The 13,800-nt window shown below is 50.4% G+C and overlaps 1 pseudogene, besides 2 other annotated features; it reads right to left on the reverse strand.

The window, feature by feature from the left end:
* Window positions 609-1,361: an enhancer, noted in NCBI's record as "H3K27ac-H3K4me1 hESC enhancer chr11:61768209-61768961 (GRCh37/hg19 assembly coordinates)". NCBI's record gives its function as "activates a minimal SCP1, AML or CMV promoter by ChIP-STARR-seq in primed H9 embryonic stem cells {active_cell/tissue: H9 hESC(primed)}" and the evidence as "EXISTENCE:reporter gene assay evidence [ECO:0000049][PMID:30033119]".
* Window positions 11,593-12,520, reverse strand: RPS2P37 (ribosomal protein S2 pseudogene 37; annotated as a pseudogene).
* Window positions 13,293-13,793: an enhancer, noted in NCBI's record as "H3K4me1 hESC enhancer chr11:61780893-61781393 (GRCh37/hg19 assembly coordinates)". NCBI's record gives its function as "activates a minimal SCP1, AML or CMV promoter by ChIP-STARR-seq in naive H9 embryonic stem cells {active_cell/tissue: H9 hESC(naive)}" and the evidence as "EXISTENCE:reporter gene assay evidence [ECO:0000049][PMID:30033119]".

Genomic DNA, 13,800 nt, shown 5'->3' on the forward strand with positions numbered 1-13,800 from the left:
ACCTGTAATCCCAGCTACTCAGGAAGCTGAGGCAGGAGAATCACTTGAGCCCGGGATGCGGACGTTGCAGTGAGCTGAGATCACACCATTGCACTCCAGTCTGAGCCACAGAGCAAGAGTCCGTCTCAAAAAAAAAAAAAAAATTAGCCAGGCGTGGTGGCAGGCACCTGTGGTCCCCGCTACTTGGGAGGCTGAGGCAGGAGAATGACTTGAACCCGGGAGGCAGAGGTTGCAGTGAGCCGAGATCGCACTACTGCACTCCAGCCTGGGTGATGGGGCAAGACTCTGTCTCAAATAAATAAATAAATAAATAAAATAATAAATAATAAAAATTAAAAAATAGAATAAAATAAAGGCAGACCCTAAAGGCCCAGAGTAGGGTAGGGCCATAGGCAGTGAAGCCCACCTCCTCTCTGGATGTGCATCTGCTTGAGGTCATTCCTGCTCTGCTCACCTCCTGGCGTCCCTGTGAGGATGGACGGATATGAAGACCCTGTAACCTGTTGAGTGTCCCGACAATAACATCATTGATCGTTTGCCTAGATTTTGCAACCCCTGCCCCCACTGCTAAACCACAGTTTATTGCTTAGCAGCTCTGACCTTATACCTCCTTATCTCTCTGAGGTGGCCTTGAAGCCCAAGTGTCACAGAGTCAAACATGGTTAAAGAGTAAAAGTGGCTTTAGAAATCATGATGTCTGGGAATTCTCAGCAGCTGGAGCTGCCCCCACTCTGCCTCTGTTGAGACTTTCATGGGAAGCCGGGGTTTTTAGGGGAGCATGTCCTGACCCTCGGCTGTGTACAGAAGGAAGAATTACCTGGGTGGTTTGACCAAGTCCAGGCTGCCCCCAGCCCAGGACTCCTCTACATGCAGGACCAGGCTGGCGATGTTCACCAGCTCTCCCGGACCGCCCACCTGGGCCAGGAGAACCAGAGGCTCAGTCCAGGTGGGGTTGGGGGACTCACCATGATGTGGCCCCTTCCTCTGCTGGTCCATAGCAGAATGGGACCCTTCTTTCTGCCTGTTCCTTAACCCATTGCTACCTGTCCTGGGGAGTAACATCCACAGCCTCTGAGTGCCCCCGCTATGACGCAGCCTGCTCCCACTCTGCTCATCGTCTTCGGATCCAGTGTCTGCTTCTTGGGCCTTTGTGCCACGTGGCATGCTTCCTACCTCCTCTCCGTCCTGGTCCCCTCCCCAGCCTTGCTCTCCTGCCTGCCGAAGTGGCGCCCGGTGCAGAGAAAAGACAGGCCCCGCCCGAGGTAGACTTGGGCGCGCTTTGTGTTGCTTACGGTGGCTGGTGGCAAAGTGCTGCCCCAGGGCCTTTAGAAAGACCCTAAGGAGAAACCGTCAAGAAGCCCCAGGAAGTGACGAAATCAGGAACACCCTCACCCTGGGATCTGGGAGGGGGTTGAGTGATTTTTCCTCCCCCTGCATGTCATTATCATGATTATTTTCCTAGAGAAAACCACACCTGTCGATTGGATCTCCCAGTCCTGGTGTGGGGGGTTAACTCAGGAGGGTCAGCTGGAGGAAACAATGAGAGGGGTGAATAGAGGGGTGAGGGCTCGAAGTTCCTAAGCTCGTCTTGCCTACCCCTGAGACCCCTCAGCGTCTTTCTGGTCAATTAAGTAAAAGAAGCTGTCCTGAGCTCAGTGGGTGGCCTAGCAGTGTGGGAGCAGGCCTCTTAGTCCGCAGTTCAAGGGCCTGGCTTTGGGGCTGCACGGAGCCTTGGCAGGGAGCCCACTGCAAGGTTAATCTGTACCTTCTCTGGCTCCACATCTGCTGGAAGAAGAGAGCAAAACCTTTGTTCCCTCTGCTGGAAGAGGAGTTTGGAGCCTATCTTGCCAAAAAAGACTGTGTTTGTAAGTATTCAGTAGATTTGTGTGTACGAAGAGAAGTCAGCAGAAGCATTTTCACCCAGAGAAGAAATTTCATCACCCTCATCCTTGGCGCATGGGAGTCAGGCAGTCTGTACAGCGAGTGATGGGAATGTCTGACTCCATGAGGCACTGAAGAGAAAACAGAAGGCTGTGTTCTCTCCTCGTGAAAGCTAAGGGTCCCTGCTGACAGTGTAGCTTGCCATCGACGGCTCTGCTTAGTCAAAATGACGCTCCATGTGTTCATTTATTTTTTGAGACAGGGTCTCGCTCTGTTGCTCAGGCTGGAGTGCAGTGGCACGATCTCAGCTCACTGCAACCTCTGCCTCCTGGGTTCAAGCGATTCTCCTGCTTCAACCTCCCAAGTAGCTGGGAAAATAGGCATGCACCACCACTCCCGGCTAATTTCTGTAGTTTTGGTAGAGACAGGGTTTCACCATATTGGCCAGGCTGGTCTTGAACTCCTGACCTCAAGGGATCCACCCGCCTCAGCCTCCCAAAGTGTTGAGATTACAGGCGTGAGCCACCATGCTTGGCCAACGCTCCATGTAAATGTGTATACACTTTATGCAGACAGGAAAGATTTCCTGCTTCCATGAGCATCCCCGCGAGTAACCAGATGAGAGGGATAACAATCCAAGAGATTTTCCAGAGTGCTCCCTGGACCTCCAGATTCCGGCATTTTCGATGCCCCTCAGGACTTCCATATTCGCTGTTCTCTCTGCCCGGATGCTCTTCCCTTAATCTCTCCTGGGCTGGCCTCTTCTCAGAATGGAGGGCTCAGCTGGAGAGTCAGCTCCTAGCAGCCTTCCCTGACCCCTCCGCAAAGGAGTTCATCTCCCCAAGACTCAGTCCCTCTCTATGCCATTACTGGTTTTGCTTTCTTGTAGTTAACACTATTTCCGTGGAATATACTGACCCTTTCCAGCCTCCACTGACTATAGTGTGAACTTTCTGAGAGTCATTGGGCCTTACTGTCATCATCACTGCCGTATCCCAGTACCTAGAAGGGTGTCTGGCACCTGGGGATGTTCAGTCATTATCTATTGGATGGGTGGATGGTACTTGGGTTTGGATGGAGTGAGGAAGAAGATGACTTGGAGAGACAAGTTGAGCCAAGAGGACGAGTTGGCCTTTTCTTTCTTCAGCTTTCCTCTTCACATATGCCCCTGAGGGGAGATCGCTGGAGAAAGAGGCAGCCCACTGTCCCTGTCCCTGGAAACACCTTCACCAACAATGGGCTGATATTCTCCCTACGCTGGGCCAGGCAGATGGAGTCTCCTTCAGCCGAGATGTTTCTGGGGCAGAAGATGCACCTCTGCCACCATCCTTTACTTAAACCGGAAGACTCCCAGCCCCTGTGAACAAGTCCGTCGGAAGTTCTCTGTCTGCATGGGGCTAGAACCCAGGGAACCCCAGGCTGGAAAAAGTGGGTGGGCCCACATGGCTTGCAGAACTTTAAAAGTAAGTGACACAGGTGGGAACAGGCTGAAGGAGCTAGGTTTCTGTTTTTTTTGTTTTGTTTTGTTTTGTTTGAGATAGTCTCGCTCTTGTCATACAGGCTGGAGTGCAGTGGCGCGATCTTGGCTCACTGCAACCTCTGCTTCCCGGGATCAAGCAATTCTCTTGCCTCAGCCTCCCAAGTAGCTGGGATTACATGTGCCTGCCACCCTACCCAGCTAATTTTTTGTATTTTTAGTAGAGATGGGGTTTCACCATGTTGGCCAGGGTGGTCTCGAACTCCTGACCTCAGGTGATCCACCTGCCTCGGCCTCCCAAAGTGCTGGGATTACAGGCGCGAGCCACTGCGCCTCGCCTTCTTTTTTTTTTTTTTGGATGGAGTCTTGCTCTTGTCGCCCAGGCTGGAGTGCAGTGGAGCAATTTCGGCTCACTGCAACCTCCACCTTCCGGGTTCAAGCTATTCTCCTGCCTCAGCCTCCTGCGTAGCTGTGATTACAGGTGCCTGCCACCACGCCCAGCTAATTTTTGTATTTTTAGTAGAGACGGGGTTTCACCATGTTGGCCAGGCTGGTCTCGAACTCCTGACCTCAGGTGATCCACCCTCCTCAGCCTCCCAAAGTGCTGGGATTACAGGTGTGAGCCACCGTGACCTGCCAGGGTACAAATTTTCTTTTTTTTTTTTTTTTAGACGGAGTCTCGCTCTGTCGCCCAGGCTGGAGTGCAGTGGCACGATCTCGGCTCACTGCAACCTCTGCCCCTCCAGGTTTAAGCAATTCTCTGCCTCAGCCTCTGGAGTAGCTGGGATTACAGGCATGCGCCACCACGCCTGGATAATTTTTTTGTATTTTTAGTAGAGACGGGGTTTCACCATCTTGGCCAGGCTGGTCTTGAACTCCTGACCTCGTGATCCACCCGCCTTGGCCTCCCAAAGTGCTGGGATTACAGGCGTGTGCCACTGCGCCTGGCCATGGATACATATTTTCTAACTCATTCTCCTGGTTTCAGCGTTTTGTGTTTTTGGGTGTTAGGCTTGCTAGAATTGTAACCTTTGCCTTCCTGGAACAGAAAGCTCCAACTTTGTGTGTAATTTTACTGAAGTGGACCCACTCCTCAGAAAACAAAAAGAGAAAAACCCCAGGGGAATTAGGATACACACATATTGCAAAAGCCTCTGTGGTCAAGTGTGCGGGATTTCCAGAGGAAATGAAAGTCAGGACCAGCAAGAATATCAGACCAGCTGGCCAGAGCCCACCTCCATGGCTAGTCTTGCCCTGCAGCCAAGAACAAGCTTACTTCCTCTGAGTCAGCTCATAAGCCCTCCTTGGACCACAACCCTGGGCTGCATGTCAGTGCCACTGCCATGGTGGGTCCCCTGAGAGTCTAGGAGGCCTTAGAAAGATTCCGAGGCCTGGCCATGCATGGATTTTGCTCTTAAAAAATGTCTCTCAGCTGGGCGCAGTGGCTCACACCTGTAATCCCAGCACTTTGGGAGGCCAAGGCAGGCAGATCACAAGGCCAGGAGATCGAGACCAGCCTGGCGAACGTGGTGAAACCCTATCTCTACTAAAAATACAAAAATTAGCTGGGCATGGTGGTAGCATGTGCCTGTAGTCCCAGCCACTCGGGAGGTTGAGGCAGGAGAATCGCTTGAACCTGGGAAGCGGAGGTTACAGTGAGCCGAGATCGTGCCACTGCACTCCAGCCTGGCAACAGAGCGAGACTCCGTCTCAAAACAAACAAACAAAAAAATGTCTCTCTCCTCTCTTTCAAATGAGCAGCTGCCCGAGAACCCACAGGAATGGATGGAAGGATAGAAAAAGGCAGAAAAGACACCCGCGGGACACTTTGGAAGCCAGTGCCATCTCTCTGTTCTCTAACAGTGCTAAGAAAGGATGGGCCTGTGGGTAATCATTCTGATCAAAAGCCAAGGCAGCAGCTGGACTGTGCCTCCAAACTGTTCTGGAGGAAGAAAATATGCAAAGAAAGATGTTATTCAGGGCTGCAAGCAGCCTCCCTCTTCTGCTCAATCTCCCTCTTTCTCTCTGAAATTCTTCCCACCCACGGGTGCCAGCTTTTTCTGTCCCATGATGTCGGGGGTTGGGACGGGGGATGGGAGAACTGACTGCCTGACTCCACCTGACCAGCTGCCTGCAATCTGTAGGTCGTGGAGTATAGGAGATCCAGACTGTTCCCCAGACACCAACTGCCAGCCTTTAAGTGTCCTCCATTTGCTACCACCCAGGGGACCAAGGGTTTTTCTCTCCCACAAACCATATAATTGGACTCACAGCCTTTTTCTTTTAGGAGAGCTTACTGAGGGGTTGATAGGAAGGGCACTGACAAGATGGGGGGCTACCAGCTTCCCCAGGGGAAGTGACTCCTAGGCCAAGACTTTACAGCGTGAATTTGTGTTTCTCTGACTTGGACAGTTGGTTAAGATTAAAAAGGAGAAGCCATTTTTCAGCGTGTGGATGGCCACCTCCCCAGAAGAGTTTCTCTTCTGGGAATAAAATAGGAACCAAGGGGCTTGATGCAGTGGCTCACGCCTGTAATCCCAGCACTTTGGGAGGCTGAGGCAGGTGGATCACCTGAGGTCAGGAGTTCAAGGCAAGCCTGGCCAATATGGTGAAACCCCGTCTCTACTAAAAATACAAAAAATTGGCCGGGCACAGTGGCTCACGCCTGTAATGCCAGCCCTTCGGAAGGCCGAGGCGGGTGGTTCACGAGGTCAGGAGATCGAGACCATCCTGGCTAACATGGTGAAGCCCCGTCTCTATTAAAAACACAAAAAATTAGCTGGGCATGGTGGTGGGCGCCTATAGTCCCAGTTACTTGGGAGGCTGAGGCAGAGGAATGGTGTGAACCCGGGAGGCGGAGCTTGCAGTGAGCAGAGATCTCACCACTGCACTCCAACCTGGGCAACAAAGCAAGACTGGGTCTCAAAAAAAAAAAAAATTAGGCGGCTGTGATGGCACGCACCCATAGTCCCAGCTACTTGGGAGGCTGAGGCAGGAGAACTGCTTGAACCCGGGAGATGGAGGTTGCAGTGAGTCGAGATCGTGCCACTGCTCTCCAGCCTGGGCGACGAGCGAGACTTCGTCTCCAAAGAAAAAGGAACCAAGGTCATACCAATGTTCAAAGTTCAGATAAGGCTGAATGTGGTGCTTATGCCTATACTCCCAGCTGCTTGGGAGGCTGAGGTAAAGGGATCGCTTGATCCCGGGAGACTGAGTCTACAGTGAGCTGCAATCATGCCACTGCCCTCCAGCTTGGGCAACAGAATGAGACCCAGTCTCAAAAAAAAAAAAAATTTAGATAAGATATTTTGACTGAAAATCTATCATGAACCCCAAATATTCTGCCCAGGCCAATGTAGTCCAGGGAGAAGAGTGTTTTGCTTTATTAAATTTGTTTCTCTAAAGAGTTGGACCTGTGTTCATTTGCCTCTTTCTCCAATGCCTTAGAAATTAATGGTGTAGATCAATGAGGTACAACTTAGAGTCTAGAAATAAACCTATACACGTAAGGTCAATTAACTTTCAAAAAGGGTGCCACAGGCCAGGCACGGTGACTCACGCCTGTCATCCCAGCACTTTGGGAGACTGAGAAGGGTGGATCACCTGAGATCAGGAGTTTGAGACCAGCCTGGCCAACATGGTGAAAGCCCATCTCTACTAAAAATACAAAAATTATTCGGTGTGGTGGCAGGTGCCTGTAATTCCAGCTACTTGGGAGGCTGAGCAGGAGAATCATTTGAACCCGAGAGGTGGAGTCTGCAGTGAGCCGAGAATGCGCCACTGCACCCCAGCCTGGGTGACAGAGCGAGATTTCATCTAAAAAAAAAAAAAAAGTTGGAGGGGCCACAGTCATTCAATAAATGGAGCTGGAACAGGCTGGAACAACTGGATATCCATGTTCAAAAGAAAGAAGTTGGACCCTTACCTCATACTATGTACAAAATTTACTCAAAATGGATCAAATATCTAAATGTAAGAGCTAAAAACTACCAAACTCATAGAAGAAAACATAGGGCTAAGTCTTCATGACCTTGGATTTGGCTATGGATTCTTAGATATGACACCAAAAGCACAAGCAAGTAACAAAAGAAAAAGTGGACTTCATTGGTATCTAAAACTTTTGTGCATCAAAGACCACTATCATGAAAGTGAAGCAATAACCCAAAAATGGGAAAAATATTTGCAAGTCATATATCTGATAAGAGTCTAGGATCCAGAATACGTAAAGAACTGTTAGAACTCAACAATTCAAAAAACAAACAAACAAATGAGCAAAGGACTTGATTGTACATTTCTCCGCAAAAGATCTGCAAATGGTCAATAAACATGGTCCTCAACATCATCAGTCATTAGGGAAATGCAAATAAAAATCACAATGAGGGCTGGATGTGGCGGCTCATGCCTGTAATCCCAGCACATTGGGAGGCTGAGGTGGGCAGGTCACAAGGTCAAAAGATCCAGACCATTCTGGCCAACATGGTGAAACCCCGTCTCTACTAAAAATACAAAAATTAGCTGGGCGTTGTGGCACGCACCTGTAGTCTCAGCTACTCGGGAGGCTGAGGCAGGAGAATCACTTGAATCCAGGAGGCAGAGGTTGCAGTGAGCCGAGATCGTGCCACTCCAGACTGACAACAGAGCAAGACCCCGTCTTGAAAAAAAAAAAAAAAAACCACAATGAGATACCACTCCCTACCCACTAGGATGGCTATAACTAAAAACACTGAAAATAACAAGTGTTGGTGAGGATGTGGAGAAATTGGAAACTTCATACATTGCTGGTAAAATGGTACAGCTATTGTAGAAAACTTTTTGGCAGTCTTCGAACACTTAACTGTGGAATTACCATATGACCCAGCAATTTCACTCTTAGGTATATACCCAAAAGAAGTGAAAACAGAAACTGGTACTTGAATGTTCATAGTAGCATTATGTGTAATACCCAAAGGTTTGAAGCAACCCAAATGCCCATCAACTGGTGATTGGGTAAACAAAATATGCTATATTTATTCATTTCATGGAGTTTTCTTCAACCATAAAATAATGAAGTATTGATAGATGCTACCACATGGATGAATCTTGGAAACTATGCAAGATGCCAGACACAACAGCCCACATATCATATGATTCCATTTATATGAAATGTCCAGGCTGGGCGCAGTGGCTCACACCTGTAATCCGAGTGCTTTGGGAGGCCGAAGCGGGTGGATCAGGAGGTCAGAAGATCGAGACCATCCTGGCTAACACGGTGAAACCCCGTCTCTACTAAAAATACAAAAAATTAGCTGGGTGTGGTGGTGGGCACCTGTAGTCCCAGCTACTTGGGAGGCTGAGGCAGGAGAATGGCGTGAACCCGGGAGGCAGAGCTTGCGGTGAGCCGAGATCACACCACTGCACTCCAGCTGGGGTGACAGTGCGAGACTCTGTCTCAAAAAAAAAAGAAAAAAAAAAAAGAAATGTCCAGAATAGGCAAATCCATAGAGACAGCAGAGTAGTGGTTGCTGGGGAACTGGAGAGAAGGGACAATGGCAGTCACTGCTTAATGGGTATGGAGTTTCCTTTTGGGGAGATAAAAATGTTCTGGAATGAGATGGTGGTGATGGTTGCACAACATTTTGAATGTATAAATTTTACACTTTAAAATGAATTCTACACTTTGGTTAAAATGGTAAAAAAATTTTTTTTTTTTTTTTGAGTCGGAGTCTCGCTCTGTCACCCAGGCTGGAGTGCAGTGGTGTGATCTCGGCTCACTGCAAGCTCCACCCCCCAGGTTCACACCATTCTCCTGCCTCAGCCTCCCGAGTAGCTGGGACCACAGGCGCCCACCACCACGCCTGGCTAATGTTTTTGTATTTTTACTAGAGACGGGGTTTCACCATGTTAGCCAGGATGGTCTTGATCTCCTGACCTCGTGATCTGCCCGCCTCGGCCTCCCAAAGTGCTGGGATTACAGGCGTGAACCACTGCGCCCGGCCAAAATGGTAAATTTTATGGGATGTGAATTTTGCCTCAATATAAAAGAAAAAGTTGGTTGGCTGTGGTGGCTCACACTTGTAATCTCAGCACTTTGGGAGGCCAAGGCAAGAGGATTGTGTGAGTCCAGGAATTTGAGACCAGCCTGGGCAACACAGCTAGACATCGTCTCTATAAATAATAAAACATTAGCCGGGCGCGGTGGCTCACGCCTGTAATCCCAGCACTTTGGGGAGGCTGAAGTGGGTGGATCACCTGAGGCCAGGAGTTCAAGACCAGCCTGGCCAACATAGCAAAACCCCATTTCTACTAAAAATACAAAAATTAGCCAGGCATGGTGGCAGGTGCCTGTCATCCCAGCTACTTGGGAGGCTGAGGCAGGAGAATCACTTGAACTCAGGAGTCAGAGGTTGCAGTGAGCCGAGATCATGCCACTGCACTCCAGCCTGGGCAACACAGCAAGACTCCATCTCAAAAAAAAAAAAAAAACGTTTTGGGCCGGGTGCGGTGGCTCATGCCTGTAATCCCAGCACTTTGGGAGGCCTAGGCAGGTGGATCACTAGGTCAGGAGATCAAGACCATCCTGGCTAACATGGTGAAACCCCGTCTCTACTAAATGTACAAAAAATTAGCCGGGCATGATGGCAGGTGCCTGTAGTCTCAGCTACTTGGGAGGCTGAGGCAGGAGAATGGTGTGAACCCGGGAGACGGAGCTTGCAGTGAGCAGAGATCGCGCCACTGCACTCCAGCCTGGGCAACAGAACGAGACTCTGTCTCAAAAAAAAAAAAAAAAAAAAAAATTAGCTGGGTGTGGTGGTGCATGCCTGAAGTCCCAGCTACTCAGGAATCTGAGGTGGGAGGATTGCTTGAGCCCAGGAGGTTGAGACTGCAGTGAGCTATACTGGTGCCACTGCCCTCCAGCCTGGGCAACAGAGTGAGACCCCATCTCTAAAAAAATTAAAAACATGGCCGGGCAAGGTGGCTCACGCCTACCAGCACTTTGGGAGGCTGAAGCAGGCGGATCCCTTGAGGTCAGGAGTTCCAGACCAGCCTGGCCAACATGGCGAAACCCCGTCTCTACTAAAAATACAAAAATTAGCCAGGCGTGGTGGCAGGCACCTGTAATCCCAGCTACTTGGGAGGCTGAGGCAGGAGAATCGCTTGAACCCGGGAGGCAGAGGTTGCAGTGAGCCGAGATCACACCATTGCACTCCAGCCTGGGTGGCAAGAACAAGACTCTGTCTCAAAAAATAAAAATAATAATAATAATCATAATAATAATTAATTTTAAAAAGTAAAAAACAAACAAAACAAACAAAAGACAGAAAAAAAAAAAGAGCCTCAGATCTAACCCCTGCGCTCGTGGCTTATTTGTGGAACAGTAGTGGAATGGATTCTCACAGTGGTTAGGACTCTAGCTTGGAGAGAACACCAGTGAGGATCTACTTGTCTTCTGTTAGAGAGAAACTGTCAGGAAGCTAGGGAGGATTAGCCTTGTGTTACATTTGTTCCCAAGTCTAGTTGCTCAAAACCAGGATTCCTAGAGCTGGTCAGTTGTGGCAAGTACTTTTGTTTGGTTAAACCCAAATCAGTCCCAAAACCTTTCTTCCTGTCCTCCACTCACTGTAAAGGATGGGATGGCCGGATATGTCCTGGCTTTGTCTTTGTCAGGGAGGACTTTAGACTTTATAGCCCCTGTTTGGCCAGTGCTGTGAGGAGAGGTCAGGAGACCTCTTGAGACCTTCTTGAAAACAGTCTTTCTTTGCTGATAAGATCAAAGCTGGGAGGTGAAAATTCTTTGCCTGGTATCACTCCCTGCTTCCTGCATCTGAACATGTTGTGAGGATGTGGTGTATGGGGCTGCTGCAGCCATCATGAAACCATGAGGGGAAACCTAAAAGAACCAGAATGACCATAGCCCAGAGCCCTGTCTTTTCTTCTCCTTTTTTTTTTGAGATGGAGTTTCACTGTGTCACCCAGGCTGCAGTGCAGTAGTACCATCTCAGCTCACCGCAACCTCCACCTCCCGGGTTCAGGCAATTCTCCCGCCTCAGCCTCCCAAGTAGCTGGGATTACAGGCACCTGCCATCAGACCCAGCTAATTTTTGTATTTTTAGTGGAGACAGGGTTTCACCATGTTGGCTAGGCTGGACTTGAACTCCTGACTTCAAGTGATCCACCCACCTCAGCCTCCCAAAGTGCTGGGTTTATAGGCGTGAGCCACCATGCCCGGTCTTTTTTTTGTTTTGTTTTTTTCAAAGGCTTAATTAACTTTTTCTTGTATAAAAACACTATGTTGTAGCCACAGCTGGAGCCTGGGTCCTCTGCACAGAGACTCTGGTCTGGGTCTTGACAAGATGGTGAGTGAATTCCTGGTAAAGAGACTTGGTGAATACAGTATTCTTCTAGAGGTCGGGTCAGGTAGCTGTAGGTCTTGGAGATGACATCAAAGCTGGCCTTGGCAAAGTTGCCCAGGGTGGCAGTGCAGCCCCTGGCCAAGGTGTAGCAGTCATCGATACCAGCTATCATCAGCACCTTCCTGGGCACCGGGCATCACGGGGGAGACGATGCCAGCGCCCTTGGGCACAGGGTTAAGGTGCACTAGCACAGAGCCATGGTGGCCTGTCACCTTGCAAGGGACACTGTGGGGCTTGCCGATATTGTTCCCCCAGTAGCCTCTGTGCCCAGGGACCGTGGAGAGTTGATGGCCCCTTGGATGGCAGTGGCCACCTCTTGAAGTACTTAACACCCAGAATGAGGTGGCCATTGTAGTCGAGTGGCAACAAATGACTTGAACCTGGTGTACTGGCCAGCGCAGGTCGGCTTCTGCACTGGCATGATCTTCAAAACCTCATCCTTGAGAGAAGACCCCAGGGAAAAAGTAAATGATATCAGACTCCTTGAGGGGCAGGGAGAAGAGATAGACCTCCTCCAGGGACTTGATCTTCATGTCCTTGACCAGACGGCCCAGCTTGGTGACGGGCATCCACTCCTTATCCTCAGCCTTGCCTCTGAGAGCTCCATAGCCTTGGAGCTCTCATGCCCCTGGCTCCAACCCTGGCCGTGACCTCAGCCCCAGATGCCAGTGCCGAAGCCTCTGCAGAAGCTGCCACTGTTCCTCATCCCAGGGCCTCTGGGCCTCCCACTGCACTGTGTCATCTGCCATTTGGTGTTTTCTTGGAGAAGAAGCTCTGTCATCTTCTTACATGAGCAAAGTAAACATCTATGTCTCTCCCACATTGTTGGTCATGTTTTCTGTTACTTGCAGCTGAATGCATTCCTGTGCCATCAATCATGTCCACTTTAGAGATAAACAGGGCATCGAAAAAGGGGAGGTCTTCCTTTGGAGCCAGCTTCTTGTTTCTTGGAACTGGAGATTCAGGTGGAGGAGGAGAAAAGTCCCTCTGCCTGGGGGTTGAGCTGGGGATGAGGAGTGGAGTTTCCGGCAGAGAAGTCTTGGGGTAAGGCCAATACTCGCTCTTCCATGACAGAGCCTGAGGATCTTCCCTGGCCCCAGGTCCCAGGCCTTGGCTGCATGAGGAGTCACAAGATGCCTCTCCTGAACCAGGGAGTTCTCCCTAACACTGATGGGCACTGGTGGGCAGGGAAGAAGACAGCAGTAGCCATGGGTGGTGACTCAGATCACAGACCTGGCTCCAGTCCCTGCTCTGCCACGAACTGCCTGTGTGTCCCAGTGCCCCAACCAACTCCCTTAGGGCAAGGACTCTGAGCCCTCATCCGTGAATAGGACTCTCTGTGTTCACAGGGAGCCTCCTGCCCCAGGTCCCCTGGCCTCTGAGCTTCTTCTCAGAAACGTGAGTAAATCCTGGCAGGTGAGGGACCCAGGGGGAGCAATAGAGGGCTTTGTGTCACAGCCAGGAGTCAGCAAGTGCCCAGTCTGCAAGCATCCAATCTAACAGGAGAGTCCTCCAGGCATGTGGCTTCCTGAGGGCTAGGTCCAGTGGGGGTGGGGATGGGGGGGGTAGTAAGATTCTGCTGTGAGCAATGCAGAGTAAGGAAAGGATCCAAGTTCCAAGGACCGTGGCTTTGCTGCCAGCTGACCCCTTCCTCCCCACCTGCCAAATACTCCCCCAAGTCCCCCATCACCCCATTGCTTCCTGCTTTCCGCTGATGGGGCAGTCAGCATGGAGGCCAGGCTTGGCACCGCAGGAGGGATTCCGGAGCGCTGGTAGTCCTGCACGCTGGAAAGGCTTTTCTCAGGAGTCTTCCCTGGCTCCCTGGGAGGCTGAGCTGCAGGGAAATGCCCAGTGTGCACCCCGCCCGCCAGCTTTCCTGGAACCTTCTGTAGAGTGAGCCAAGAAAGAATCTGCCCACAGGGCCCTGGGGCTATAAATTCTCTCTTTTCCCTGCTCCTGGAGATGAACCAGGAAGAAAGCTCATGCCTCTTCCCTGGGTGGATGCTCTCAATAACAATAACAAGGCCCAGTGTGGTGGCCCATGGCTGTAAT

Source organism: Homo sapiens, chromosome 11 (assembly GCF_000001405.40).
Source record: "Homo sapiens chromosome 11, GRCh38.p14 Primary Assembly".
Classification (NCBI taxonomy): Eukaryota; Metazoa; Chordata; class Mammalia; order Primates; family Hominidae; genus Homo; species Homo sapiens.